The sequence below is a fragment of the Homo sapiens genome, chromosome 4, assembly GCF_000001405.40.
Source record: "Homo sapiens chromosome 4, GRCh38.p14 Primary Assembly".
Lineage (NCBI taxonomy): Eukaryota > Metazoa > Chordata > Mammalia > Primates > Hominidae > Homo > Homo sapiens.
The window spans coordinates 10,088,846-10,116,538 of record NC_000004.12 but is presented as its reverse complement, the minus strand read 5'-3'; the positions used below and the strand labels follow the sequence as shown (position 1 = coordinate 10,116,538).

The 27,693-nt window shown below is 54.2% G+C and overlaps 1 protein-coding gene and 1 pseudogene across 3 annotated transcripts in view, besides 14 other annotated features; both read left to right on the top strand.

Moving 5' to 3' along the window:
- Positions 1–27,693, top strand: part of WDR1 (WD repeat domain 1) — a 42,461-nt gene that overhangs the window by 261 nt on the left and 14,507 nt on the right. For 2 of the 3 annotated variants that reach the window (NM_017491.5, XM_017008880.3), the window contains exons 2-5: positions 305–426; positions 12,553–12,643; positions 17,400–17,547; positions 18,648–18,828. In NM_017491.5, the coding sequence (NP_059830.1) occupies positions 305–426; positions 12,553–12,643; positions 17,400–17,547; positions 18,648–18,828 (542 nt within the window). The remainder of the gene's footprint in view (positions 1–304; positions 427–12,552; positions 12,644–17,399; positions 17,548–18,647; positions 18,829–27,693) is intronic. The other variant, NM_005112.5, reaches the window with a different exon arrangement.
- Positions 49–198: a silencer, noted in NCBI's record as "silent region_15277". NCBI's record gives its function as "represses an Ori minimal core promoter by ATAC-STARR-seq in GM12878 lymphoblastoid cells {active_cell/tissue: GM12878}" and the evidence as "EXISTENCE:reporter gene assay evidence [ECO:0000049][PMID:35858748]".
- Positions 49–883: a biological region, named in NCBI's record as "NANOG-H3K27ac-H3K4me1 hESC enhancer GRCh37_chr4:10117280-10118084".
- Positions 79–883: an enhancer, noted in NCBI's record as "NANOG-H3K27ac-H3K4me1 hESC enhancer chr4:10117280-10118084 (GRCh37/hg19 assembly coordinates)". NCBI's record gives its function as "activates a minimal SCP1, AML or CMV promoter by ChIP-STARR-seq in primed H9 embryonic stem cells {active_cell/tissue: H9 hESC(primed)}" and the evidence as "EXISTENCE:reporter gene assay evidence [ECO:0000049][PMID:30033119]".
- Positions 279–428: an enhancer, noted in NCBI's record as "active region_21309". NCBI's record gives its function as "activates an Ori minimal core promoter by ATAC-STARR-seq in GM12878 lymphoblastoid cells {active_cell/tissue: GM12878}" and the evidence as "EXISTENCE:reporter gene assay evidence [ECO:0000049][PMID:35858748]".
- RNA5SP155 (RNA, 5S ribosomal pseudogene 155) lies at positions 655–783 on the top strand (annotated as a pseudogene).
- Positions 2,716–3,216: an enhancer, noted in NCBI's record as "H3K4me1 hESC enhancer chr4:10114947-10115447 (GRCh37/hg19 assembly coordinates)". NCBI's record gives its function as "activates a minimal SCP1, AML or CMV promoter by ChIP-STARR-seq in naive H9 embryonic stem cells {active_cell/tissue: H9 hESC(naive)}" and the evidence as "EXISTENCE:reporter gene assay evidence [ECO:0000049][PMID:30033119]".
- Positions 4,660–4,954: a silencer, noted in NCBI's record as "tiled region #388; K562 Repressive non-DNase unmatched - State 14:Gen5'". NCBI's record gives its function as "represses a minimal TATA promoter and a strong SV40 promoter by Sharpr-MPRA in K562 cells {active_cell/tissue: K562}" and the evidence as "EXISTENCE:reporter gene assay evidence [ECO:0000049][PMID:27701403]".
- Positions 8,341–9,072: an enhancer, noted in NCBI's record as "H3K27ac-H3K4me1 hESC enhancer chr4:10109091-10109822 (GRCh37/hg19 assembly coordinates)". NCBI's record gives its function as "activates a minimal SCP1, AML or CMV promoter by ChIP-STARR-seq in naive H9 embryonic stem cells {active_cell/tissue: H9 hESC(naive)}" and the evidence as "EXISTENCE:reporter gene assay evidence [ECO:0000049][PMID:30033119]".
- Positions 9,683–9,732: a silencer, noted in NCBI's record as "silent region_15276". NCBI's record gives its function as "represses an Ori minimal core promoter by ATAC-STARR-seq in GM12878 lymphoblastoid cells {active_cell/tissue: GM12878}" and the evidence as "EXISTENCE:reporter gene assay evidence [ECO:0000049][PMID:35858748]".
- Positions 12,772–13,462: an enhancer, noted in NCBI's record as "H3K4me1 hESC enhancer chr4:10104701-10105391 (GRCh37/hg19 assembly coordinates)". NCBI's record gives its function as "activates a minimal SCP1, AML or CMV promoter by ChIP-STARR-seq in primed H9 embryonic stem cells {active_cell/tissue: H9 hESC(primed)}" and the evidence as "EXISTENCE:reporter gene assay evidence [ECO:0000049][PMID:30033119]".
- Positions 13,463–14,153: an enhancer, noted in NCBI's record as "H3K4me1 hESC enhancer chr4:10104010-10104700 (GRCh37/hg19 assembly coordinates)". NCBI's record gives its function as "activates a minimal SCP1, AML or CMV promoter by ChIP-STARR-seq in primed H9 embryonic stem cells {active_cell/tissue: H9 hESC(primed)}" and the evidence as "EXISTENCE:reporter gene assay evidence [ECO:0000049][PMID:30033119]".
- Positions 19,712–20,911: an enhancer, noted in NCBI's record as "P300/CBP strongly-dependent group 1 enhancer chr4:10097252-10098451 (GRCh37/hg19 assembly coordinates)". NCBI's record gives its function as "activates an origin of replication core promoter dependent on BRD2, BRD4, P300/CBP, MED14 and CDK7 cofactors, with strong dependence on P300/CBP, by STARR-seq in HCT116 cells {active_cell/tissue: HCT116}" and the evidence as "EXISTENCE:reporter gene assay evidence [ECO:0000049][PMID:35650434]".
- Positions 19,818–20,307: an enhancer, noted in NCBI's record as "active region_21308". NCBI's record gives its function as "activates an Ori minimal core promoter by ATAC-STARR-seq in GM12878 lymphoblastoid cells {active_cell/tissue: GM12878}" and the evidence as "EXISTENCE:reporter gene assay evidence [ECO:0000049][PMID:35858748]".
- Positions 21,489–22,259: an enhancer, noted in NCBI's record as "H3K27ac-H3K4me1 hESC enhancer chr4:10095904-10096674 (GRCh37/hg19 assembly coordinates)". NCBI's record gives its function as "activates a minimal SCP1, AML or CMV promoter by ChIP-STARR-seq in primed H9 embryonic stem cells {active_cell/tissue: H9 hESC(primed)}" and the evidence as "EXISTENCE:reporter gene assay evidence [ECO:0000049][PMID:30033119]".
- Positions 24,574–25,344: an enhancer, noted in NCBI's record as "H3K4me1 hESC enhancer chr4:10092819-10093589 (GRCh37/hg19 assembly coordinates)". NCBI's record gives its function as "activates a minimal SCP1, AML or CMV promoter by ChIP-STARR-seq in primed H9 embryonic stem cells {active_cell/tissue: H9 hESC(primed)}" and the evidence as "EXISTENCE:reporter gene assay evidence [ECO:0000049][PMID:30033119]".

The window sequence follows — 27,693 nt, the reverse complement described above, 5'->3', positions numbered from 1 at the left end:
GCGGGCGCCGGCCGGAGGCGTGGCGGGGCCGCCCTCGGTGGTGCAGGGCGGGACCCCCGACGGGGGGTGCGCCCCCAAGTTGGCGCCGTGGGCCGAGCCGGAGGAGCCCCGCTGCCCCCAAGGGCCTGGCCCGGGGCGCGGACCAGGAAGTCGCGCGGTTCCTGGCGCTCGTGGAAAGTGGAGGCCGCCCTCCCGGCGCAGTCAACAGGTGACCGGCCGAGACCGGTCCGGGGCTCCTTCTCCCTTCTGTCCCCGCCGTCCCCGCCCTGCCCTGACATGCCCCGCCGCATTTGTGTCTCCGCAGAGAAGGTGTTCGCCAGCCTCCCGCAGGTGGAGAGGGGCGTCTCCAAGATCATCGGCGGCGACCCTAAGGGCAACAATTTTCTGTACACCAATGGAAAGTGCGTCATCCTAAGGAACATCGACGTGAGTACCCCCTACCCCGGGCGCGGTTCTGCTCCGGAGCCACCTTGGGATGGGATAATTCGCCTTCCTCTCCACTTCTCACCTCCTGCCCATTGGCCCGGGGAGGGTGAGGGCGCCACGCCCCCTCTACCGGGAGCCACACCTCGGAGCCCCGGAAGCCGGCCTCAGATTCACCCAGGTCCTTGTCTGCTCCTTCTTGATGAGGAAACTGAGTCTTAGTTCGTTTCTGTCTACGGTCATAGCACCCTGAAAGCGCCGGATCGCCTCTGATCTTGGAAGCTAAGCACGGTCAGGCCTGGTTAGTACGTGGATGGGAGATTAGATTAGTTCATTCCTTAAAAGCAAGGGCTCCGGATTTGAGGGATCAGACTGACCCGGTCGGCCGCTGCGTGACCTTGAGAAGATTGGCGATTTGGGCATCTCTGAGCCCCAGTTTTCTCGTCTGTAAAACAGATGATGAGATGATGACCACTCTCGCTTCGCCTGCTGGCTGGGCAGATGGAATGAATGAGCTGCTGGCGTCCCTCAAGCCCAGCGGTGCCTGGTGCACTTTGAGCCCTTGCTGAATGGAATGGCACTCAGCTAACTCGCTGTTAATACCCTGGTCTTCCAGTATGGCAGAGCCCGGAAAAACACCCGGGCCTCTGGGCCAGCCAGATCTGCCACCATGGATCTAAGCCCCAAAGCAAAAACAGGAAGCAGTGTTTTCCCATGAATCATTCTCTGCAAGCCTCCGGTACCCAGGCTGAAAAGGCTTCTAGAGCCAGCTCCTTGGGAAATCCTTGCAAATTCATGTTATTCCTCTGTAATTGTTGGGGTGACCCAGTCTGTCAGTCTCCCTCCCTTCCTGGGTTACACGCTTAAATTTTGCTTTTCCCTTCCTCAGCCTGAGTGATGGAATTGGTGGGGTGGGAGTTGGAGGTGCCGGCCCGGCCATTGGGTGATTTCTCCTGTGCTGTGCTTAGTGGGGGCGGCTGGCACAAAGATGTATGTTTTGATTGATGCCATAGGCATACAAGGGTTGTCAACTTAAAGTCAGCCTGATTTCCCTTGGTAGGTTGGGACTGTTGATCGGACACACTTGCCCTCCAGGAGGCCAGCAACTGGCTGAGGGAATGAAGGGGTCTCTGGGTCTCAGTTTCCTTCTCTGTGAAAGGAGAAGCCTCTTGGTCCGAAGAGCTGCTGGCTCTGCCCGCATCTGTCTCGTTAACCCAGGCAGTCGCTGCTGTTCCTCTGCTGGAAGACAGAGCTCTACCTGCCCTGGATTGCTGGGCCCCTCAAATGAGGGGGTGGGCGGGTGTGAATGTGCTTTGAAGGTGCTAACAACTTGCTAGTCACACAGATTCCTAGAAAGCCGAAGGGCCTTGCTTAGAACTGGAGAAAATCACCAGGGATCTAATGGTAATGATCTGGAAGTCTCCGAAGGCAGGTCCTGAGGCTTTTGAGAAAATAAAAATTGAGACAACCCTAAAGAGATATTTAGTAGTTTGGCAAATAAAATCCACTAACACGTCCTCGGATACAGAGCAGTAGGATATTTCGTTTTGCCCCTAACCAGGCCTTCCCTGTCGTTGCAGTCCACATTGACTTCCAGGGAGGGGGCCTCACATAAAGTACCTGCTGTGCATCTGGCCCTGTGATAGCTTCTTAAACTGTAGCATCTCTTTCCACCCCACATGGGTCCGTTACTCTAAAGAGGAGTCAGACTTAGCAAGGTGAGGCAGGCCAGTAACTGGAGCTGCTTCTAATGGAGTGGTCATTCAGGGACAGGCACCCCTTTGCAGAAAGCATTTCCCAGCTTGTGAAACCCATTCTGCCTGTTTCTGAGCTCTGTATTCTTACCCCTTCCCCGTGGTTTGCCATTTTCTTCTCAGGGGTTACCCTGTTTCCCTTCTCAATTATTTTTAAGTTTCTGCAATGCCAGGTCAGCACGAGATGCTACTAATATAGCCCTCCCTGGGCTGGATGTAGATCAGGCACTGAGTCTCTTGTTAGTTGGATGGGTGGACTGGGTACTCAAGTAAAGGTGGGTACGATTTTTTTTAGGGCAAAGTACTCTTGGAAAAAAAAGTGACATGAATTGGCATGACCGTTCAGGAAGGATGATGGTCTGTTTGGAATGCAGGCTCAGGGAGGGAAGAGGGAAGAAATGGAGGACCAGATCATGGAAGATCTAACATGTCTCATTGACATCTCAGACTCAACATACATACTCCAAGCCAAATTTGTGTTTCCCACGTGCTCTTCCCCTAAAAGGGAACACCGTTCCTCCAGCTGTTCAGGCCCCAAACCTTGGACTCCTGTTTCACTCTCTGCTTCGCTACTGCGCCACATTTTAATTTTAGTAAATCCTTCTGACTCCACATTCAAAGTATCTTCAGAATCTAACAGATTTCCCTGGCTTCCTCTGCCTCCACCCACGACTAAGCTATCTTCCCCCACCTGACTTATTGCCCCCAGACTCCCGAAAACCAAACAGGTCTCCTTGCTTTCACCCTTGTTGCCCTGGGGGTCTGTTCACAACACTCGCTGGAGTGGCTGAAACACAAGACAGGCCTCTAGTGGCTTCCCACCTCGGTGAAAGCCAGAGTCCTTACCGTGGCCTCGGCTCCAGCGTTCTTGCCTCCTTGCTGCTTCTTGAACATGCCACACATCTGTCTTGGTACCTGCTAGTTATTGCCTTTGCCTGGACATTTTCTCAGATAGCTGCAAGTCTTGCTCCCTGTCTTCTCTTTGGTTTTTCTTTTTTAATTTGAGGTGGAGGCTTACTGTCGCCCAAGCTGGAGTGCGGTGGCGTGATCTTGGGTCACTGCAACCTCCACCTGCCGGGTTCAGGCAAATCTCCTGCCTCAGCCTCCCGAGTAGTGGGGACTACAGGTACGTGCCAATTCACCTGGCTAATTTTTGTATTTTTTAGTAGGTAACGGGGTTTCGCCGTGTTGGCCAGGCTGATCTTGAACTCCCAACCTCAAGTGATCTGCTCGCTCGCCTTGGCCTCCCAAAGTCCTGGGATACAGGCGTGAGCCACCACACTAGGCCTTTCCCTTTGGTTTATACTTAGATGTAGTCACCTTAGTAGAGGGGTGTCCCCGGAATAGAATTTTCCATCCCCGGCCTTCTGTCTTTCTCATTGCTGACAATAAGTAGGAAGCAAGCTAACAAGCAGCAGGCTACGGCTGCCTACAAGTGTACATAGGTATCTGCCTGTCCCCCTAACTGGGCATCAGCTCCAGGCCAGCAGGGCTTTCCCCTCTCTTTCAGTCACTGCCGTGTCCTCGCCTAAGAGAGTGTCTGGCACACAGTAGGTGCTCAGTGAGTTACTCATTGATTAAAAAGCCTGGAAAACCAGGCTGTGTCGTGAAGATAATAGGCAGCCACTGAGGTCTTACTGCATGAGAACAAGGAAAGCTCAGCTCAGTGTAGATTGCCGGACCTAAATTTTGTGGAATCGCCTTTCATACCTAAGAGGCGAGCACCGTTGCCAGCTTTGCACTTGGAGCCCCCTCTGTCATTTATTTTGTTGACTTAAAAGCTGTTTTGTGAACCCAGCATAATGGCACTTCTTAAACTTGTAGAAAAAGGGTGTTTCTTACCTGTTTATTTCAACACATCTCGTTGCCTCACCTGGAGAGGCAACTCTCCTCTGTAGAGTGAAAGACTATAATGGTGGCCATGTAGAAACTAATATTCCAGAAGGAGAGAGCTCCAAGAAGGGGATTCCAGTGAACCATATGTACACTGTGTTTGAGAGACATTAGTTCCCCACGGAGAAGGGATGGATAGTCTGTGCTTCGGGGGTCTAAGGAAGGCTTCCTGCAGGTGCTGGTACCTCCTTAGGTCTGGGGTGGTTCCTTCTAAGTTTCCTTACCCTGCCTGCATCACCTCTGCCTCTTATGACCTCTGTGCAAAGACTGGGAAGGGTCACCCCCAATGGCTGTGAACGAACCTGTTTGTGATTCTAAACAGGGCACGGGACCATCCTACAATAAAAATTACCCAGCCTAAAATGCCAGTAGTGCCAGTAGTCCCTGTTTAGAAAAAGAAAAAAAAAAAGCAACTTTTGCCTCACAACAGAGGCCCTCTTGTGTGCTGCCAGGCAGCCAGCAGATTTGCTATGCAGGCAAGTTTGGGGCCTGGTTTTTAAAGTATCCAGTTCCTAGATTCCAGAACTAAAATACACATTTGGAAAAATGATGTCTATAAAATTGAGTTTCCGGGAGTGCAAGGTTTATAGCAATTTGACACTGCTGGGAACCCAGGCGCAGTATCAGTGGACTTTTCTCCTTGAACAGGGGGCAGACCAAGTGGGGGGTTGGGGAGGGTATTGGGCTCACTCTTGGTTTCCCTTGGTGTGAGCTGCCACCATTCACATGCAGAGGACTCACCTGTGTTTCCTGCGGGTTGGGGGTAATGGTGGCATGACAGAGGGCTTGAGGACTGACCTAGCTGCTTCTCCGGAATTGGACGCCTGCTGACTACCTGCGTGTATCCAGATGGCCATTGGCCTGTGGGGGTGCAGGATGGAGGCCCTGCCCACATGGAGCTCACTGTCCTGGGTGGGAGTGAAATAAACTCTAGGTGGCAGAAGGAAGTGGTGCGTTGGATTATCACCTGGGTGCAAACGAGCTGGCAGCAGCGCCTGCCAGGTGCAGAGCCAGGAACCTCTAGGCCTTCAGTCTGACCACCTGATGGCAGGGGAAGCAGAGGGTGGTGGGGGGCCTTCATCTCAGGAGAATCTGAGTGGCTGCAGGTGCCAGTCAGGACGCTGGGCTTCTGCAGATGGGACCACATCTGGGAGGACCGAAGGGCCGGGTGCTTATGGGCTGTTACTGTGGCACTGAGCGTGAGGGGAGTGGACAGGACCCAGGCTGAGAAGTGCTGGTGTGCAGTGGTGGCAGGTGGCTCACACAGCCCTACCATAGCGCAGCCCTGCTCTGAAGGCCACTGGAGCCATTCAGAGGTCTCACAGACAAGTAATCAGATCCAGCCTACGGTAAGGAGAAGTTCTGTATCTGAGATCTGAGGCAGGGAAGCCAATTAGGAAGCTGCTCAAAGATGAAGGCGGCGTCAGCGCAGGTTCCGTTGCGTGGTGCAGCCATCTCTGGCTCTCACGTTTCCCACACATGTTCACTAAGCCCCTGTCTTGGCAAGCCATACCCTAAGCCACAGAGGACCAGGATTAAAATCAGTGATTTTCAGGGAGGGGTAATTTCCCCCACCTCATTCCCCTGAGGGATATCTGGCAACGTTTGCAGACATTTTTGTGCCACTGGTATCTGAAGTCAGGGTTGTGGCCAAACATCCGACAAGGTACATGGCCGTCCTTCCACAAAGAACTGTCCAGCCCCAAATGCCAGGGGTACCAAGGTTGAAAACTCTGGTAAAGAACCTTCGAAGGCACCAGGTTAAGTGCTTCAAAAGAACAATGCCCTGGGTGCTCTGGGAATGTGAGGGAGGAGCCAGCTGTGCCACAGAGCGGGGACAGCTGCTGGAGAAGTGCCACATTTGAGTTGGGTCTTGAAGGATGAATAAGAGTTCTCCAGGAGGAGCGTTGAGACACACGGCAGAGGTGGGGAGAAACCAGGCAGGAAACAGCATGTGTACCTGGGTCCTCTCAGCCCCACTGTGGCCTCCTGTGTGTTGCTTTTGGTACATTTCTTGCCCTGTTGGAGGTAACGGGAGGGATACTGAAGCCATCTTTGAGGTAAGAGAAGAGGTTTAGCCTCATGCGTAAGACTACTGGAGAGATGGCCTTGCCCAAGAGTAGTTGGAGATGCTTCTTTGGAGAGTGACCTCCACCTTCTGCAAGGCCCTTGTTAGGGACAGCTGTGGACACAGGAAAGGGCCCTGTGTGCGTCTCTTCGCCGTCTCAGTGATGGGCAGGCACTCCCTGCCCTGGCGATGTGCCTGCTCCTTAGACCTGTGGGTCCTTAGCTTTGGTCACCTTGCTTGTCACTTCTACGTATGGGTCCTGCCTGCTCTCCAGGGAAAGGCCAGCATCCCACCCCTACCCCCGCCCCACTGTCCAATCCAGTGTATACCCCTGAGCACCTCTCTGTTCTTTGTTGAGTGTATTTTGTGCTGGTCTGTGGCTGAAACTTGGTGTGCTTGCCTCTTCTGTTTCCATGCCTGCGAGAGTGGGAGGAATGTTATCATGGGATCAGTGTAAGATTTAACGGAGCTAATTCGTAAAGCATCTTCAGAAGGTTGTCTGGGCCCTGGCAGGGACCTCTGCTCTTGTCTTCATGACTGCCCTGTTGGGTGGATACCCTCATCTCTCTTTTGAGAGGTGAGGATGCTGAACCTCTGGAAGGTGCTGGAATTTGAACCCTGGGAGCCACCCCCAGGTCTACCTTTGCAACTCATCAGTTAAGGCCCTGGTGGGCCCTGGGTGGGGAGTAGGAGAGGGGAAGACTGAAAACGGAGGTGGTGGTGTCCCGCTCACACGTAGTCCAATGAGGGGTGCTGCTGTGCAGGGCCACACGGTGAGTACCCCCAGGCCTGTTTCAAGGCATCTGAGGCTGAGCTGGGAGGCAGGAGGGGAAAGTCGTTCAGGGCATGGCGGCCTGTGAGTGACCACCCCGTCCTCAGCCAGCTCAAGGAGCTGCCTGTACACTGTTTGGAAGCACACAGCTGGTTGGCCAGTGCAGACTTTATTCTCTGTATTAAAGAATCACACTAACATTGAGACCAACCGTAAGGAAGACAACAAAACCACAGGGAGGAGTAAAGGCCGCCACATATGGTCCCTGATTTGCAGTGACGTGACCTGGGATTGTGTGAAGGTGTTGAGCATTTGTTACCTCCCTTGACTCACCGTGCTGTTAGTTATATGCTCATAACCCAGGTGAGTCAGCAACTGGCCCTGAGTTCAGGTCTGGCGCTGCCACTTAACAGCTGGGTGGCCTGGGGCGTATCGCCCAGTGTCTGCCTTGGTTTCTTTGTCATGTGGGATTATGAGGTTACCTTCCTTACAGCAGGTGTTGTGAGGTTTCAAAGAGAATCCACTGAGGGGCCCACCCAGGGCCTGTCTGAGAGTGAATAGTAAGTGGCCGGTGGGGATTTGTTTCTTGATAAACAGCTACCAGGCTCCAGCCAAGTTCTGGTCTTTGTCGGTATTTGGCAGCTGCTATGGTGAATCAAGTGTGAACCTTCCCCACTCTGGTGTCCACGTAGTACAGAAGGCAGGTGGGGCACAAATGATGTGTAGTCCAAGGTGGAAAGTAGTGAGGGCAGTGGGGTGGGAGTCAGGGAAGGTGGGGGTTCAGGGTGGGAGAGATGATTTCTAGCTTGGAGCATCAGGGAAGGCTGCTTGGAGGAGAAGCCCTTTGCCTGGGCCTTAAAAGATAATTAGGAGAAGGCGTTGTGTTGTCGCAGAAGTTTACATTCCTGCTTTGGAGCTGAGGTTTTTTGCTGTCATTCAGCCTTGGCCTTAGTTGTAGTCACCAGTGAACATAAGGGCCCTGGCCAGTTATATTTGCACAGGTCAGTTACAGCAGTAACAGCTTTCAGCCTCTGTTGCTTGCAGGAACTTGGAGTATTTACAAAGCCAGTGCCCTGACTGGAAGCTCACGCTCACTTGGCCTGGGTGGACCATGGAGGACGCCTGAGACTTTCTCTGGGGTTCCCGGGGACAGTTGGCAGCTAAAGGAGGGCACAGCAGGCCCCTTCATCAGTGTTGTGTCGTCATCTGCTGAAATGTTTTTTGCTTGGGCAGGTATCTCCAACCTTCTAGCATGTTCCATCAGGTTCACTGTGGGCCAGGAGCTGAGATACCAGTGGCAAGCCTTGAGACCCAAGCCCCAGGACCCAGGGTCATCACAGCCTACCTGTAAATTGGAGTAGTGACCTCTGGCCCCTCCGTCACCCACCTGAGACTGGGAGGACATAGGAAAGTAAGAGAGCTTTGAGGGGCTCAGGGCTCACTAATTGTAAATGTTGCTGCCTGGGGCATAACAGAGTTACGGAAATGTCGCTTCTGTGTGCTTGTTTGCATGACCTGTGTATTATAGCGAGTCTCAAAGGCGGCACAGACATTGTACAGGTGCCGGGGGGGAGTATGTTTAGGTTTGCCATTCAACAGGATTCTCAGAAAAAGACCAGCTATTCCTGGGCAGGATGCCTCAGTGCACAGGTGGGAGGTGGGGGCTGGTGGGACCTGAGCATAGTGTGACAGAGTAGAATGGCCTCCCGGGTCAAGTCCAAAGCTTCTGCTTCAAATGGGCACCACTGGGCCTTGAACCAGGCCCTGTGTTGGCAGGGCTGGGTGCTGTTACATGCTGTCACTTGCCGAAGTCCGTGGGTCCTGGGTCTGCTCGCGTGTGTGACTCCTTGATTGCTGGCTGGTGTCCTTCATGTCCTCAGAGGCCCCCGGACTCCTCCAGGGGTGGTGGCAGAATTCTGGGGCTTGTCTCGAGGTCTTATCCCAGCCCCAGCTCTGGCCCTCACAGGCCCTAGCCCCCAGGTGTGGAGGCCACTGGGGAAGGGGTCTGGGGCCAGCAAGGTAGAGGGGCTGCACCTGTTCTATCCTCAAGGGTTGGGGTGAGGGGCCATGGGTTGGGGTAGTCAGCCCAAGGAGTGGCTGGCAACGTCAGGGCGGCAGCAGGGTAGCGACGAGTGGGCTGAAGCCTGGAGGGAGCTCAGGAAGGGTGGGTTGCAAGCCGGACCGTGAGGTAATCAGGGTCGGGATTTGAAGACTACCGGCTTGGTGGAGGGTGGAGATGCATTCCAAAGCAGTTATCGCTCTTCCCAGGAAGAACAGGAGGACTGCATTGAAAATGGTGGAGGTAAAAGAGAAGATGGGTTGGGAGTTGGCAAGGAAAACTGGGCAGGCCTGTGGTGAGGACTGAACGGCAGCCTCCCACTGCCAGAGCTGGCCCAGCCTGCAGCAGCATGAGAAGAAAGCCTGGGAGGAGGGGTGTCCCTGAGTGGGCAACTCCAAGGCTGCTCATGGTGGTCTCCCCCAGGCCCCCAGGGAGATGGGGAGACAGAACTTTTGCCTACAGTAGCACTGGGGCTCCTGGAATTGGCTTCCTGCCCTCCCTGTCTCGTTTTCCCCATTCCAGAGTTTTTCCCCAAATAAGCTTCTCAACCCCCAATCTCATTCTTCTTCCCCAAGATGGAAGGAGGGGGAGGAGGCTGGGGGGAGAGGGGCACACTGAGGGTGTCAAGGTGCCATCTCGACCCAGCTGATGGGGACAGAGCCTCACAGGCCGAGTGACACGTGGGGGTGTGAGGTATCTTTCTGGGTGTAGTAAGCAGCCTCCCTCTGCGAGCTGAGGAGCTGGGGAGGAGGCTGCTCTGACTCAGATGTAAGTCATTATCTGCAGTTTGGAGTATCTCAGCCCCCACCGCTGACCCAGTTGTATTTAGAATACAAACGAGAGTGAGTGATTCATCAGCTGGCAGGATTCTGTTGCCCTTTGGGGTTTTTACACACAGCCCTGACCATTTAGGGGAAGGAATTTTTAGGGGCAGAACTTCCTCTCATGCCCCTGCCCAGGCATCTTCCATCTCTGGATGCCCTCCCCAGCGGAAGGCCCATGGGAGCCCCACCCTTTCTACGGCAGCACGGCCTGGGGAGGAGGTCGTCCAGGCTGGGAGAGCCCACGAGGCCATCTGTCTGGCGGGATGGGCAGGTGCCCCTGTATGTGAGCGTGAGACCTCCCCCATCCCCAGTCAGCTGTGAGTGTACACCGAACAGGGTCTTGGAGGGGCTGCCTGTTAAGTGGATCATTTTCTTGCCAGGTGCTTTGGGTAGGGATGTGTCAGTGTCAGAATATGAAGGACTAATTGGAGTGGGAGAGGGTTGGATTGGGCAGACATTTAATAAATAGCCAGCATCTTAGTTTTATTGAGGTGTACTTTAGATACAGTAGAATTTGTCTGTATTCAGTGTGTGGCTTGGATCTTGACAGATGACCTATATAGTCCCATAAGCACCACCCCTGTCATGACAGAACATTCCTGTCACTCCGGAGGGTGCCCCCCGCCCCCGCCACCCCTTCCACCCTCACCCCCAGCAGCTGCTTATCTGCTTTCTGTCATTGGGGTTGCCTTTTCTAAAATCTTCTTTCATATGAAGTGAGAGGCAATGTGTAGTCTTTTCTGTCTGGCTTTTTCACTTTGCATAACATGTTGGCGATTGATAGCTGGTGTTGAGTGCATTTGCACTTTGTTCCTTTCTATCACTAAGCAGTGCGGTGTGTTGCCTGTTTCTCTGTTCACCTGTTGATGGATATTTGGGTATTTCCAGTTTTTGGCCATTGCAAAGAAAGCTTCTGTGAACATTGCTCCTGTGTCTTTTGGTGGACACATGCTTCCATTTCTCCAGGGCAGATACCTAGGAGTGGGGTTGCTGGTGTTTGGTGTGAGTAGTGTCTGTTTAGGTTTATAAATAACCTGCCCAACTCTTTTCCAACTGTACCATTTTGCATTTCCACCAGCAGTGTGAACATTCCAGTGTCCCCACCCCTCTACCCTTGCCAGCACTTGGTGATGTCAGTCTTTTCTTTTTATTGATTCTAGTGAGTATGGAGTGGTATTCTGTTGTAGTTTTGACTTGCATTTCCCAAGACTAATGACACTGAGCGCTTTTTCATGTGCTTACTTGTCATTCGTAGTATCTTCTTTGGATAGACACCTTGATACATTCTAATTTCACTGGCGAACGATTATCCCAAAATGGATTAATTTATGACTGGTGTCTATTATATCACATAATGCTGTGTTAAGTCTTAGGGATGAAAGAGAAGGTCTGTGTGTACTTCTTTTTTTCTCCCCCAAACCACTTATTGAGATGGCTAGTGAGATAAAGGTCATGTTAAGCAGGGCACAGCAGAGTTGGAGGAGATGGACAGGAATGCTAGGGACTATGATGTGTGTTGTGCCATCCCGGTGGACATGTTAAATGATCTGGAAGCACAGAAGAGTTGATACGGATAGCTTGGGCCATACTTGGAGGCTTCATGGAGGAGGGAACGCTTCCGTTAGGCCTGATGGGTGAGTGGGTGTCCGTAGGCAGGGAGAGGTGCTGGCCAAGGGCACAGACTACACACAGACGTGGAGCTTAAACAGGATGGCAGAAGGTGGGCAGGAATCAGGGTCTGTACTTCTGTGGTCTCAGTCTCGTGAGATGGGGGCCCCTCAGGTCTTGAGGAGGGGTCTAAGGGAGATGAGGGGTGGGGTGGCAGCAGGTGGGGTCATGCTAGGGGTGCCCGGGCACCCTCACAGGAGTCTGGTGTGTCCTAAGCCTCAAGCTGGCGGGAAGCTGCCTCTTTCAAAGAGCACTTGGTTTGTAAAAAGCTGACAGTAGGTAGCAGAGATTAGATGGCCATGTCTTTATTCCCTCCTGAAAGAAAGCTTCACTGTGGAGACAGATTGAGAGCAGCCCAGTGTGTGTGTGTGTTTCTGTTTCACTGAGGCCCTGCGTGTGTGTGTATGCCGGGAGGGAGGCGCAGGGATCTACTTTTAGCACATTACATGTTGAAACCTCATTGCTGAAGATGCTTCTAGTCTCAAATGTTGGCCCCATTTTTGCCACAAAGTCCACCCAGCCTTTGATCTGTGCTATGCAAGGGAGTGGGGAATCGACTTTCCTTTCCAAACCCAAGTTTTTGATAGAGAGGGCTCCCACAGCGTGTCCTGCTCTGCTCCTGCACAGCACAGCCAGGCGCTGAGTTTGGGGTCCAACATTGATTGGCAGCCAGGAGAGCTGGTCCTAAACACGGAAGAGAACAGAGCGCTGGAATGAATGCAGCTTCCCACAAATGGGAGGGATTAGAACCAGGGCTTCTTGCTCTAATCCACCTTTTGTGTATCTGTTTCACTGATATATTTGTTCTGTATTATGGAAAGTACAGAAAAGCAGAAAAGGAAAAAAATCACCTTGTTGTACAGTCATAGACTAAGGAGAACGAATTAAAGTAACATGAAATTCTATCACCCAGAGATAGGTAGGCAGGCAGTAGATACGTAGGCAAGTGGTATGCTTCTGCGGTTTTCTTCACGGTTTTAGCTTCAGTGTTTCTTTGTACACCCCTTTCACCCCATATCTGTTGATGTGGAGAGCTGGAAGCTTGACTGCTTCTCCATTCCTTCTGTTCATTCCGGGGTCTCCTCCTGCAGAACCCAGCCCTTGCTGACATCTACACAGAGCACGCCCATCAGGTGGTGGTGGCCAAGTATGCGCCCAGCGGATTCTACATTGCCTCCGGAGGTACTGTATGGGGGCAAGGCTCGTGGACACCTGTGGGGGCCTGGGTGGCGCTCAGGGCCCAGGGCGAAGCTGGGCTTCTGGCCTTGGGAGAGTGGGAGGAGGGAGGTGGGGGGTGGGGGAGCAGGCTGGGGGTGGTGAGTTGAGGGGAGCCAGTATAATTAGTTTCAGCTGAGGCTGACAAGGAATGTGTAAGCCAGCCTTGTCCAACCGGTGGCCCATGGGCTGCATGTGGCCCCGGATGGCTTCGAATGCAGCCCAACACAAATTGGTACACTTTTTAAAACGTGAGGTTTTTTTTCTTTTCTTTTTTCTTTTCAAGCTCATCAGCTATCGATAGTATTAGTGTATTTTATCTGTGGCCCAGGGAAGCCAAAAGATTGAACACCCCTGGTGTAAGCTACCAAAATGCCCCTTTTCAAAACTGGCCTTAGTTCTAGAACAGAAAGGACACTTTCTAGTTTGTAGTGTTGCAGTTAGTTCCAGCTTGGAGGTCAGCAGAAATGCCACCATGAGGTTGGCCAGGGACCTTTTGCGGGAAGCCATGGCATGGTATGTTGGAGCCCTTGTGGGCCGTGTGTGTGTGTGTGTGTGTGTGTGTGTGTGTGTCTGTGTGTGTGTGTGTGTGTGTATGTGTGAATGGATGTTTTGTTTTGTGTCATCTTTACCCGCTGCTCCTTTCCCAGTGCTACCACAATGCTGGCCTCCAGGCCAGCGCTCACGTTTTATTTGTACACTGGGCCTTTGCTCTCTGCAGCCTGGGCTTTTGTGTGGCTCAGTGGGAGGCTAGGCAGAGGCAGGGGTGGAGAGATCTTTCCTCTTGAAGGATGTTTTTTTATTTACTTAGTTCTTTGACGCAGAGCTTTTCCTGTACACAGATGGGAACAAGAGGTACAGGAGTGAGAGTGGTACCCCTTCTAGAATGGTGGCCCACTCATTCATTCACTCACTCATTCATTCATAAGCTCAACAGATACTTACTGCCTGCCTTGCCTAGCCATCTGCAGCCCAGGGAGGCCAAGTGAGTAAGCTGATGTGGGCCTCATCAGCCTCTCTGGAGAGTGACAGCTATGACCAAATTGCTGAGAGAGCTAAGCACCAGTAGGGGAGGGCGGGACTCATGCACGCCGTGGCCCTATGCTTGTACCATCCTGCGTGTGCACAGCAGCCTGTCCTGAAGGGTGTATGGGAGATGGTAGGCCTTGGGGTTGGGGAAGACCTGGGTTCGGCTCTGTCTTACTCTGCTTTGTGCTCACAGGCTGGGTAATTTACGACTAACACAAATGTATTGGCTCATAGTTCTTGGGGCTGGGCAGTTGGACAGCAGGGGCCGTTGCACAGCAGGGGCCGGTATCTGTCAAGGGCCTTTTGCTGTGTCAGTCCATGGCAGAAGAACAAAGAGAAGGTGAGAGAAGAAGAGGGGCTGGGCTTGTCCTTTTATTGGGAAGCTGCTCATGTCATAATACCCATTCCTGAGGGCAGAGCCCTCCTGGCCTAATCACCTCTCCATAGGCCGCCTCTGATGCATTGGGGATTAAGTTTCCAGCACATGGTTTTCGAGGTCACACTCAGACCATGGCAGCCTCTTACTGGTGGCGTAGCCTTAGTTGAGTAACTCACCTTCCTGGGCCCAAATTTTCTCTTCCAAACTGGGGCTGCTAGTGCCTGCCTCTTAGGGTGTGAAGGAGCCAGTAAGGCATGGATATGCCCAGCATGGCTGTTGCACTAATGGGTACTTACCCCTGGGTGACCCGTTACCTGTCACAAAACTGGGGCTCTGTTCTGATCGAGCCAGGCGGCTGGGTGAGCTGGCTGACTGCTGTTGGCGGTCAGCTGAGGTCACGGTGAAGGGTTGGGCCCGGAGTCTGGCTCATAGTAGGCATTTAATGGTTTTTGTGTTTAGATCTTCTCCAGCTCCATCTGTAAAACATGCTCTCATTTACATCCCATGATTTATTTAGCTCTGTGATTTATTTTTTCCCCAAGCCCTGCTTGCCAGCAAAAGTCTCTTCATTTAAAGCCCCAAGATTTGGCCCGAATGTCTTTTACATGTTTAACATGGAGCCGAATGCTCTTAGAAGTGTCTTCTCAGGAGAGGAATGCAGTTGGCAAGGGCCTCCGCTCCTGCCTGGCACATTGTCCGTGCCCTGTCAGCTGCAAGCTGAGAACCTGCGGGCCCAGGCCTGCCCTGTCCCCAGTCCCCAGAAAGGTGTCCAATGAGACAGAATTCAATGGAAGGCTGTTGCGGAGACTGTTGCAAAGGACAGACCACATAAATAAGTGGCCATCGTGGGACGCTGTCCTCCCTGAAAAGTGCCCTGATTTTGTAGAGGAGCCAAGGGAGTTTGGGGCCATCCTCAGGTCCAAGTGTTCTTGGGCGAGATCATATTTTATGTTTCTAATACATTTCTTTGAATAGAGCGAAGCAATTGTTAAGGCTTACATTGGAACGTTTGCTGCAGAGATGAAGTGGGGCTAAAAATAGTGTGGTAGGGGGGTGGTTTGGAGAAGGGGGCTGAGAAAGAGCCGTGCTGGCCCACTAAGTGGGTTGCCTGGCAGCTGGCCCCAGCCCTCTGCAGGATCTTTAGACCCTGTCAGTCTGACTGGTTCATGACTGCTGAAGTGTTGAACCTTGGGAAGGGCTGCGCACCTGGGAGCCTCCGGCACTCTGGGAGCCCACATTCCCACGGGGCAGTCCTCAGTGCACAGGTCATTTCGGGGGCAGGCCCAGGCCTCCTTTTCCTGAGGTTATTTTCATGATACTGTTCTGTCTGCCTTGGCGCTGGGGCCGTGGTTCCAGGCTGCCCTTGGGAGTTGGCGAGGGCCATGTGACAGGCGTGTGGTTTGGCCTTACGTAGGCCCAGGGCAGGCTTCCTGGAGGAAGGCGCCTCTTTCAGGGTGGGACGCCCTCTGCCTTGTCCTGAGAGCAATGTCTTCTCCATGGGGCAGCATGGGCCCTGGATGGGCCTGAGCATAGCAGACCACGTGGTCACATGTGCATGTGTGGACATGTGTGCATGTGTGGATATGTATGCTCCTGAGTGTATCTGCATGTCCTTCCTGCACACACAGTGCTCCCCTCCGATGCTGCCAGCCTGTGGTGACTTCCTCTTCTGACCCCTTCTTCCCCCCCGGCCTGTTTTATCAGTGAAAGGACTTAACTAAGCAGATCTCCAGGTCACCTTTGGAACTCAGCTCAGGTAGCACAGCAGGTGGTCTTCCTGGACCTTGTGCAGAGAACTGGGCCCTTCTGGGACTCCCCTTAGTTAGTGCTGTTCACTGGATTTGGCATCACCTCTTGCCTGTCCCCGCAGCTGGACTGAGAGCAGGACAGTCCTTACGTGCATCTCCCTCATCTCAGAGGATGGCTCAGTCTAGGCTCGGGCTGTGTCTGCCCACAAGCAAGGCATCTTCGTGGCCTGTGTAGAGCCTCCGTTAATTCGTGGACTCGTTCCACCTGACTCGTAACGAGCTCTTGCTGTGCACTGAAGACTAGTTGGAGACTTCGCACGTGTTAACTCGTGGAACCTACAGCAGCCCTGTGAGTGGCTCTGTTATTTCCACTCTTCTGGATAAGGACACAAGCCATGTTGCTTGCTGAGCCCCACAAAGCCTGTGTGTGGCAGAGGCTGGATTTGAACCCAGGGCCCCTGCTCCCAAGGCCTGGCTCTTAGCTGCTGCCCTCCTTTGAGCTGCTCAGTTGCAGCAAGAAAACAAAAGCTCTTTTCACTGGAAGCAGCTGTAGAGCTGTGGTGGTTGTTAACGTGTCCTGACAATCCTCTTAAAAAGGCGCCTTTACCTGCTTAGCAGATGGGGCTGAGGTTTTAAAGCGTGAAGCCTTGAGAGTTAGTCTAGAATGCTCCCATTTCTTCACGCCAACACAGTGCTCATTTGGAGAGGGTGTGTCGGGATTGGGACTTGGTACTTGGTGACAGGATCGTGGTGGGGGATTGGGGGTACGTGGCCCCCGGTGTTGCTTCTGTTACAATTGGCTGCCCACGCTCCGGTGAGAAGAGAATCAGCATCGAGTTCTGTGTGTAATTCTCCTTCCCCCGCAACACCCACCTGCTACTCTCACAGAAGAATCTTACGCTTGGATTCCTGTGCGTCGTGGAACTGCTCGGTGTGTGAGTGAGGCTGCTGATTTGCCAGGCAGCAGCACGCTGTTGGGAAGCTGCACAGGAAGCCCGGTCTGCAGGCCCAGGTGGAGGCCGCCAGGCCACGCTGAGGCATCGCAGTGGGCAGCACGCTGCACCCTCACAGCTGTGCACCTCGTTTCCAGAAGTCACTGCAGCAACTGCAAAGGAGAGGCAGGTGTAGCCAGTGCCGTCCCATTCCACAAAGGTGGCCTGAGGCCCACACGTCATTCTGATGCCCCTACAAGAAAAGAAACACAGTGAGAAAACTAAACCACTTCCTGGCATATTGGAGTTTACCATGATGTGTCCCTGGGCTTTTTCTGATGCCTAAGCAGGGTTTGTTATCCAGATGATTTCTGGCAAGATTTCTGGCAAAATGCAGAGGCCCAAATGGCAGGCCTCTGGATGCCACGGGCTCTGACTTAAGGGTGGCTGAATATTGTTGCCCTAAGACACGTTCTCTTCACTAGGCCTTTTCCTCTAGAAAGCCTAAGCAACCAGACATGGTTCTGAGTGGGCCTATGGCCACGTGGCCCTGGCCCGGCAGTGACCTGTGGCTCTCCCCCTGCCCTTTACCCCACCACCGCCTCCCCCCCTCCCCCGCCCGCTGTGCCCCACAGATGTGTCTGGGAAGCTGAGGATCTGGGATACCACGCAGAAGGAGCACCTGTTGAAGTATGAGTACCAGCCTTTCGCTGGGAAGATCAAAGACATTGCTTGGACTGAAGACAGTAAGAGGATCGCCGTGGTCGGGGAAGGAAGGGAGAAGTGAGTCACTCCTCTCAGCCCCTCCCTGCCCTGTTGCTGTGGCTCATGCGTCCATGTGCTATGACCCTGGGAGGGGGATGCGCTGATGTCTGTACTAACTTGCACTCGTGAGGGTTGAGCTCCCAGTAGGTGCCGGGCCCCGTGAGGGCTGGCTGCAGCCCCAGGTAAGGTAGAACTCCACATCACACTGGGTTTGTCACCAGGGCCCAGCACTCATGTATCTCCTCTGACGTCCTGAGTGCCTTGCCTGCTAGAACCCCAGCTCTCATGCCCACCTGCAGGCAGCAAGAAGGGGACAGAGTGAAAGAGCAACAGCACTTCTATTCGGGGTCCCTCACAGCAGCTGCCCCATGAAGCTGCCAGGGAGGCTGAACTGTTTCTTCCAGCTGGGCACCTCCCCCAAGGGTCTCTGATGGAGGAGGGAGGGGCAGTGGATGCTGGCTGGGTGGCACTGGGTGGCTACTGACCTCAGGGGCCTAGTGACTGGTGAGGTTGGTGCCGAAACCCAGGTTTTTTTAATTCAAGAGAGTCAGAGTCCCCCCTGCAGCACCATGGCTGGCCATAACCCCTTGAACTTGACAGTGGCATGTCTGTTCTTCACTGAATGGCACTTTCTCGTACATGTTCTAGTAGGTGTTTTTCCATGGCTTCTCAAGTCATTCCTGTTGGTCTTAATTCCTTCTTTTTTCAGTAGCAAATAGTAACTAAAACAGTGTTTTTGTTGAATGTCAGCCAAGAGCAGGGCATCTCATTCCTGTAGGGGATGGTAACTGTTCCCTCCCAATAGAACTGTAAGGAGAATGGTGAAGCTGTAAAGATAGCCCTGGGCCCTGTGGCGTGGGGCCCCACAGACACACACATGCATCCCCTTCCCGAAGGCGCCGGCTTGCCCCATCTTGTTCTTGGGTCCTTTGGACAAATGCCTTGTGGAGCCAGAACCCCAGTGCTTCCCTCATTTGTCCCTGTGGCGTTCTGAGCTGCCTGCTGACAGTCACTCCATCCTCTGTGCACTGGCAGCTCAGCTATCAGATTGCTTACCAGCCTTCTGGGATTGATTTTTTTTTTTTTTTTTTGTCTTCCACCTGTGTCATTGGGTCAAGGTTTGGAGCAGTCTTCCTCTGGGATAGTGGCTCTTCTGTGGGCGAGATTACAGGACACAACAAAGTCATCAACAGCGTGGACATCAAGCAGAGCCGGCCATACCGGCTGGCCACGGGAAGCGATGATAACTGCGCGGCATTCTTTGAGGGACCCCCATTCAAGTTCAAGTTCACAATTGGCGTAAGTGAACTTACTTTTTGGGTGAAATTTGTGGTTTGTACATGAGGCTAGCAGAGGCTGAGCCTGTTTAGATGCTGATGGCAGAGACCACAGCACATGCCACGTATGCCATGATACACAGAAGTGGGCTCCCAGGGGTGTGCAGAGAGAGGGAGGGCTCCCCCACCCAGCACTCGTCCTCCCCAGGCCCTCAGCTGGGCATGGATGGTTCCCACAAGGAAGGGCCCTGCCCTAGGATGATGTGTGCCTGTCGGGGATTGGGGCAGGAATGTCCCTGACCGTGTAACCAGGCAAGCATCTGGGGCTGGAGGTGCTCATTAGAGAGGGGAGCCTGCAGGGCCTGCTGTTAGCTGAGCCACCAAAGTGGCAGAGGAAGGGAGCTTGCGGGACATCCAGATTGGTCTCTCCTAGAGACAGTGAGGGCAGTGATGCGCCTGCAAAGTGACAAACGGTTAGAAGACTGAAAGATACTTTGTGGAAGAAATGTGCCAGAAATGCGGCAGGCTTTGGGTGTAGCTGGCAGCATCTCAGAGGCCCATGCCGTGCATGCGCCCCGCCTTAGGCACCCAGGCCTTGCCAAGCCTCCTCACTTCTCCCTTCTGCAAGACGGGGGTGTGCCGGGGCCAGCAGCATCTGAGGGTTTTGACTATGAATTTGAAGTAGGAGAGCCACCTGGCAGGTCTGGAGCATCTGTGATGCCCATTTTCCTGCCCCAGCTTTGTAGGAGTGAGGGGAGGAGCCCAGCAGCCAGTCTCAGCACAACCCCACGGCTCTGCCCTGGCTTTCCCCATCCCGCTTGTGCTTGCGCTGAGGATGGACAAGAACAATGGACCCGGAAATGCACATTTTAGGGACTGTTGATGTCCTTGGAGGAGGTTGTGTTTGCAGATTGGACCAAGTTCTCGGGACTCCTCTTGGAACCGTCAGTGGTTTCACTGTCTGCCTCATGGAGGATTAATGAGATCATGTCCTTAAAGTGGCTCAGTGAGGAGCACTGTCCATTTTAGTGACATCATGCCATGAATCATAAATAGCCTGCGCAGTGCAGCTGGAAAGGGCGAGGACGGGACCCACAAAGTGAGCAGAATTTCCAGAGACTGTTCTTGGCTTAGGGTACAGGAGGGGGCTTTCCAAGGATGCCCCGTTCGTAGTGAAACAGGCTTCATTTTGTCACGGAACCGCAGGCTGAGCTGGGCCTGGCTGGGCAGGTGAAAGCATAGGGAGGCTCCCTGTATGCAGCTGAACACGCGGCAGCTCTCAGACTCTGCTCTTGTGGCTACCACCTAATGGGTAGGTAGTGGAGACCTGGCTATTTTGGGAGCTGTATTGAAGGCTGTGGCTTCAGGCCATGTTTCTTCGCTAGGGTGGAGGCACTGCAGAGCAGGGTGAGTAATGCTGAGTCAGCTGCACACCCCATCTCAGCCCAGGGCAGGAGGAAGCAGCTCAGAGACTTCTGTGGTAGCTAGAAGCCGGCTGTGGGTGGGGGCTCCTTGGCCTGCCCTGGGAGGGATCATTTCCACTCTGCAGCTGTGCATTAAACCCAGCACAGGGTGCTCAGCAGGGTCAGGGGCACCAGTTTGTTCCAGGGGTGGGCTGGAGCCTGTCTTCTTCACCAGGCTGCTGTGCCCCTGTGTGCTTGCTTGGGGACTTGTCCAGAACATTCTTTCTCTTTAGTTGTCCTTTCTAACTTCAGAAAGGACTTCACCCCACTGCCCTGGCCCAGGAGTGTTGGGTACAAATGTCTGCCCAGCTAGCCCAGCTCCAGGGTGGGTACCACCATGTGTCTTGAAGTCTTTTGTGGAACCCACAACCATGGGCCCTGCCTGAGGACCTGGGAGAAATAGAAAGGGCTGTGGCCTGGCACAGAGCTAGGTGGCTGTGCCCCCCTCGGGTGAGTCATGCCTCTGGGCCCTCCCGGAAACAGGGTGACAGTGACCCTTGCGTGCTGCACCCTCAGCCACAGGGAGGGTGTGAGAGGCAGCAGTGACCATCCACATGCTCAGGAGACATGTGCGGACTCAACTGCCCACGCATAGGAAGGACAGGAAGGGTGCTCAGGGACCCCACACCTGCCCCCAAATACCTTCTGAGTTGCAGATACACTTTGGTGTGTATCTGCACTTAAGCCCTCCGGACCCCAGAGGAAAGCTGCGGTCGTGCTCTCCATGACCAACCCCAAGACAAAGGGAGCGCGTGCAGGCTGGGGGAAGTGAGAGGAGGTGTGAGTGCTAACATGAGGCCCAGCCACAGTCAGCTTTGAGGACATGGTGGGCTGAGCATCGCTGGGCTTCCTCCCGTATGTGGGCTCTTCTGATGTGGTCGGAAAGCCTGGGATGTGGAAGTTCTCAGGAATTAATTGAGCCTGTTATAGTAAAAGATTTTAAAACCATATGTGGGCATTTTTTATTTTAGAGGGAATTAAGTTCCACTTGCTGTGAAATCCACATAGCAGTGGTCTTTTTTCCCCAGATCTTTCATTCTGCAGCACATGACGGCTGAGTCTGGGCTGCCTTTGCCTCCGCACCAGCGCTCAGGCCTTGGTGGCCTTGCCTGCCGCCCCTCGCCTCCTGAGAATGAGCAGCTGTGGTGGCAACTCGGGCCTGTCTTCATCTGCGCCTTCTGCACCCACTCCCTGCAGAGGCCCCCTGTGGCCGGGACCAGGAAGCTGCCCTGAGCTTGGGGGTGCAGCGCTGGGGTGGCAGGTGCTTCCCTAGTTACCCAGGTGGGAGAGGGACTGGCGTATGACTGCGGAGGGACCAGCTGGGTCGTGTTGGAGCTGCTGCCTTGAAAAGGAACAAGGCATGTTCTGAAGGCGTTTCAGTACAAGCTGAAGCAGAACTCCATGATGCTGTGCCTGAGCTGAAATGCAAGCAGCATTCCCTGTGTGCCCCTCGTCCTGAGGGACCGTAGCCCAGCTTTGGTCTTCATTTGCCTGAATGAGGCTCCAGGAAGATGGGAGTGGAGGAACATTTGGCCTGGAATAAGCCTGGGTGCCGGCTCATTCCTACCCAGTGACATTGAAGACGCGGTAGGTGACCTGCGGAAGTAACTTCCGGGGTTACAGGAGAACGGTTCTGAAAGGAGACCCTGGGCACCGTGGTCTCGGGTCTCCAGCACTGGCATTTTGCGAACCCAGGGGTAGGTTCCCCTCAGAGGGTCTGACCGTGGCCTGAAAAAGGGAGGGTGGCGAGACCATCTCCCTGCCTTCCCCCATCTCACCCATGGGGATGTCTTCATGCCAGGCAGGCTCCTGGGATAGGTACTCCTGGATGGGTTTAAAGGCCCCACTGAGTTTCTCTCTGTTGTCTGCCTTCGCCATGCGCATTACTTGGGCCAGGTTCTTTGCCTCTCTGGCCATCCGCTTCCTCCGGTCGGGTGAGCAGTTGGTTTGGTGGTCTAGGATGACCACACGCCCCCTCTGGAGTGTGGCTCACAGCTGTGTGCATGTCCTAGGTCCCAGGAGTTGGTGGTGCACTGGATAGTTTGTGTCTAATGAAATGGTTACTTAGAGCAGCATGTCGTCCTGGGGGCTCAGCCTTATGATGCAGAACTGAGAACTCACTGCCAGATCTAACAAGCTGTGATTGTAGGTGGAAAAATGTTCAGCACGGAAGACTTCTGGCTTCCCTCACTGGGGTGCCACTGCTCCCTCTGTTCCATTGCCTCTGCCCTGCGGGGACCTCATACCTCACATAGTTCTCCCACTTGAGGCTGGAGCCAAGCAGGGCTGGAAACCTCAGCTGTGGCTGTTACCGGAAGTGCTGCCTTCCTGATAGATAAGGAAAATTTGAGCTCAAAACAGGCAAGGTTTCTGGTGGTTTTTCTTTTTCATATTTCCTCACTCAAGACAGGGCAGAGAGCAGATGTTTCAGCCCTTCTGGCATGTATGGTGGCTGCCTGGGCCATGCCCCTGTGATGGGCATGCAGGACCGCCTCCCTTGTCTTCAGCACGCGCCACCCCTCCTGTCGACTGGCCTTGCTCTTCACTGGGCTGATGGCTGACTCCTGAAAACTGGGGGCTGACAGCAGGGAGGGTGACCTGGCCCAGGTCACATGGCCAGTAGGTGCCCCAAGGACGGTTAGTTAGGATGAGCCTCTTGTCCCTTCATATGGTCCTTGTTCTCCAGGGAACATGGTGACTGAGCTGACCCGTCCCGGGTGACGGGAGAGGCAGTTGGGTGGGTAGCTCCTTCGTGCCCCTCAGCCCAACTAAGTGGACCGGGCTGCAGGGCTGCCCCAGGGCACTTTGCAGGGAAGTTTGCTGCGGGGGATGGGTGGGCTGAAGGATGGTCCAGAGCCAGCCTCGCAGGTCACGGTGTAAAGGTGTTTTGGGAACACCCATTGACCAAGGGTCGTGGAGGCCCGTGCTGGGCTTGTGTGGGGTGGGACTGGGCACAGGGGACCGAGAGCCTGTCCCCTTCTACCAGCTCATAGGCATGTGAACAGCCTAAGGGTGGGCTTGTGGTCCTCTTGTGTACAGGGTCAGCTGAGGCTGGGGGGAATGGGGTGGGCTCCCAGAGGGTTCCTGAGCTGACTAGGTAGGTAGTGAGCATGTGTGTGCTGGAGACAGGCCAGCTGGGGCCTGCAGCGCTCTGTCGCTCTGTGATGTTGACATGGGTGTGGTACTTAATTATGACCTCAGTGCTTCAAGCCTCGGTTTCCTCGGTGGTGAGAGGGAGCATATTGGTGGGAGGGAGTGAGGACTGTGGGGAGGGGGGCTCGTTGATACAGGTCAGTCTTGGCTATGTGTTGGCTGCAAGGGAGGACAGGCAGGAGTGTGGACCGGACACCGTCAGTTGTCCACCAGGGATGAGGCTGGACTGAGACTGCTGCAGCCCCGCTGGTTGGCTGGGGTGGGGCAGAGGCAGGGGGCCGGTGAGGGCAGCCTCAGGAAGCTGCTGCCCCTGAACTCCCCGGGAGGTTCCCCAATCCCTCTCCCTCTTTGTTCACTGGCCGGGCCTCCGTGTGGAAAGGGCTATTTTTAGCCCTCGCTTTTTTTGGTTAATGGGCTTTTCGCGGCTTCTCTCTTTGAAGGGGCTATTTCAGGAGCAGACATCAGTGTCTGCATTTGGACTCCTTGGCTCGAGGTGCAGGAAAAGGTGATGGGGATGAGCTACTCGAGGGGCATCTGTGTCCCTGGACTGTGCCGGGCCCCTCCCTTGCCCCTGCTGGGTTCTGGGGCCAGGGAGGGACACATGACACCACCCTGCCAGAGCCTGTGGGAGGCGTCGGCAGAGGTGAACCACAGACTTGGATTTGGGGTCCTGGGGTTTGCGCGAGCAGGAATGTCCTCGCTTCTGGGACCTGGAACTGGAGTAGGAATGTCCATGTTTTGACCTCAGGGAGCCACTGAAATGGGCACTTGTGACAGGTTGGAATTGAACAGTGGCTGATTAGTTTCCTCCATTTTGTAGCAAGAGCCATCAGCGTCCACTGTCCCACCCACTCATCTGGGCTTGGGTGATTCGGGCATTTGGGGTGAGCTCTTTTCTCTTAGTTCTTAACTCATTCGTCAGAAGGACCCAGGGGTCAGCCAGGCCCAGCCATCTCCCTGGCCCACTGCACTTCAAGGAAGCTCAGGCTGGCTTGGAGGAGCCAGTGCGAAGTCAGCGGCAAGGCGAGGCTGTGCTGGCCAAGGAAGCGGAGTTCGGCAGCGAGAGAACTCGATGTGCTGGTCAGAGGTCTAGGATTCGAGCTGTGGTTATGTCATGGTCAAGGTTGTGTGGCCTCATCTGGAAGGAGTAGTGGTGCATACACCCCTGTCCACCCCCCGCCCAACAGGGGGTCTAGAAGTGCTTTGCCTCAGGCCCTCCCACCACTGCCTTCACTGCAGCCGGCTCCTTCCTGCAGCTCTCTCGGGAACTGCCCTGTGAGGCCCTTTGACACAGGGAATGTGGACCCTATGGACTGACATGGACAAGGGACCGTGGGCCATGTTGACACAGATAGGAGGTGGACCCCATCGGCTAACCCCGACGGGAACAGGCCCTCAGTGCATGACGGCTCCCTCATGGTGGGTAACAGCAGAAGGGGGGATGCAAATGGGCCTGCGGAGTTAGGGATCTGACCTCTGGGATGACTCTGGGCTGGAGCACCCCCAGGCTTGCTGAGCAGCTGCCCAAGGCCCAGGAGCCAGCGCAGCTGAGACGAGAGCTCTGGACAGGAAACTGGAGACCAGATTCGTGCAGGTGATGTGGCTTTGAGTTACCCGCTGCTCCAGGCCTGGTGTTCTCCTGTGAAGAATTTGCCCGCAGGCTCTCCATGGCCCCTCGGGGGGTAAAGCGTCTCTGGAGGGCCCTGGAGCCCCATCTGGAAAGTTGGTTTTCACTCTCAGCAGCTGAGTGGATCGGGCCTTCTGGGGAAACTGCTTTCCCCAACTTCACATACCTAGAAGTGCTAGAAAACTTAGAACACAGACCATTTAAGCAAAGAAGACCAGCCTTAGAACTAGTGAAAAAGGTACAAAAGGAACTAAAGAAGCAAGATGCAGAACTGCGCTTAAACACAAGGAAGGGTGACCTCTAGCACCATAGCCAGAGACGACCGTCCAGTCCTGTGTTCCCCGTTCCATCTCCTAGTGAGCCCTGGGCCCGCCTGGGTACTGCACGCCTTGTAGTTTGGCACTGCCTTGCCTGGCCAAGCCTTGCAGCACCCAGGTGCGGGGGGCAGGCAAAGGGCTCGCCAGCCCCATCGCTCATGAGCTGATCACAGACCTGAGCCCAAGTTCAGACTGAGCCAGCCTGGTGCTTCCATCCCTGTCCTCTTGGGCGGTGACCACAACCTACAGAGGACGAGCTCTTCAGTCATAGAACGGAATGCAAGCACCATGACAGCACTCCCTGAAATGAGGCAGGGAGGACAATCTGCTCATCCACTGGGATGGAAACGTGACTGTCGTCGCCCTCAGTAGCTCCCGAGGAGCACTGGGACTCCCCTTGTCAGAATGTGTGATTTCTCCGGCTTTCATCTAAGTTAAAACACGGGTCAATGAGGTGGGAGATCCTGGTTCAGGTGCAGGGCCAGGGCCTGCTGGGCCTGTGTCCAGCCTGACCCCAGCCGTGAGCAGGTCTTGGCAGCACCCTGAGGAGGGCTTACCTGAGGCAAGCAAGTTTGGGTTGTTGGCTGGAGGAAATGGTTTAATCTTTGAAGTGCAGGAAGCCCAGGGTTGCTTTTGTGCCACAGGTCTGGGGTCGCATCACTCTTGGGCCTAGAGAGATTTCTGGGGCGGGGAGTGGCCTCTCTACGAGAACTGCCTGCCCTGGGGACATTGCCAGACTGAACGGTGTCTGTATCTTCTGCTGACTCTGACGGACTTTGTGGGGACATCGATTTCCTTGAGTGTGGCCCTTGGGACCCCCAGGCACCTGATTCCTCTTTCTGGGCCTATGTTTCCTCATTGGTGAAATGGGCACAGCTCACCTTGGTGGGTTATTACATGAGTGTCAGAGGCAGCATTGATGACATGTGTTAGTGTGCCGCAGCTGCCATAACAAAGTTTGTTAAGCCACAGATTGGGTGCCTTAAACAATGGAAATTTATTCTCTGGAAGTCAGAAGTCTGTAGTCAAGGTGTGGGCAGGGACGCACTCCGAGTCCTTCCTTGTCTTTCCCAGATACTGACAGCCCTGGGGGTTACTTTTTGTGAGCAGAACTCCCATCTCTGCCTCCAGCTTCACCCCAACTCTGTATCTGTGTCCAGATTTCCCTCTTAAAAGGACACCAAGTCCTGCTGGATTTACAGCCTGCCCTAATGACCTCATTTTAACTGGACTGCATCTGCAAAGACCCTGTTTCTGAATAAGGTCTCATTGGGTCCCAGGGTTGGGACTTCAGCATGTCTTTTGGAGAGGCACAATTCAACTGAAAACATTACACAATCAAACACAGGCAGGTCCCCCACACAGGTAGCTCATGCTTTAAAATTAAGTCCGTGATTTACTTAGAGCGCGGGGCAGCTTATCCGCCTTGGGGTTGAATTGCTTTTCCTGAAGGTTAGTGTTCGTACCTGCTGAGCAGCGAGCCCTTCCTGTGCCAAGAGAGTTGTTAGCACTGGATGTGCATTTGCCGGGTTAGCGCCGCCTGCAGGTGGGCAGCAAGAGGGCAGGGCAGGTGTTGGCAGCTTTACAACTGCTTATTTAAGGATCAGTCTCTGATACAAACTCTTGTTGACTGCGGAAAGAATGCATTCATTTCCTTATTCGAGTAACAGAGTCGCCCCTGGAAGTCATGTCATTTCCTTTTAGTCGCTCAGGCTCTTGTTCTTGATGAAGGTCATAATCATTAACTTTGTTTAAAAGTTAATTATTGGCCAGGCGCAGTGACTTACTCCTGTAATCCCAGCACTTTGGGAGGCCAAAGCGGGGAAACATGAGGTCAGGATACTGAGACCATCCTGGCTAACAAAGGGAAACCCCATCTCTACTAAAAATACAGAAATTAGCCAGGCGTGGTGGCGGGCACCTGTCGTCCCAGCTACTCGGGAGGCTGAGGCAGGAGAATGGCGTGAACCCGGGAGGCGGAGCTTGTAGTGAGCAGAGATTGTGCCACTGCACTCCAGCCTGGGCAACAGAGCCAGACAGGGCTGGTGCCTCCAGGAAGAGGCCTCCTGGTCTCAGCCATCGTGAAGCTTAAGGATTGGGGCTTGAGCTCTTTCAGAGCCCAGAGGGAAGAGGGCAGCTGCTGGGGGCACCTCACTGGGGGGGGCATAACTGGAGGTGGTCTGCCTTCGCTCGGGCTAATCAGCTTTCCCAGCAGGTAGAGCGGTCAGCATGGCAGGCAGGCTGGAGCAGACTCCTGCCCCTCCACTAAGGGACTGCCCAGGATGTTTTTTTAAGCTCTGAAATTTTCCAGTGGACTAACAGTTCAC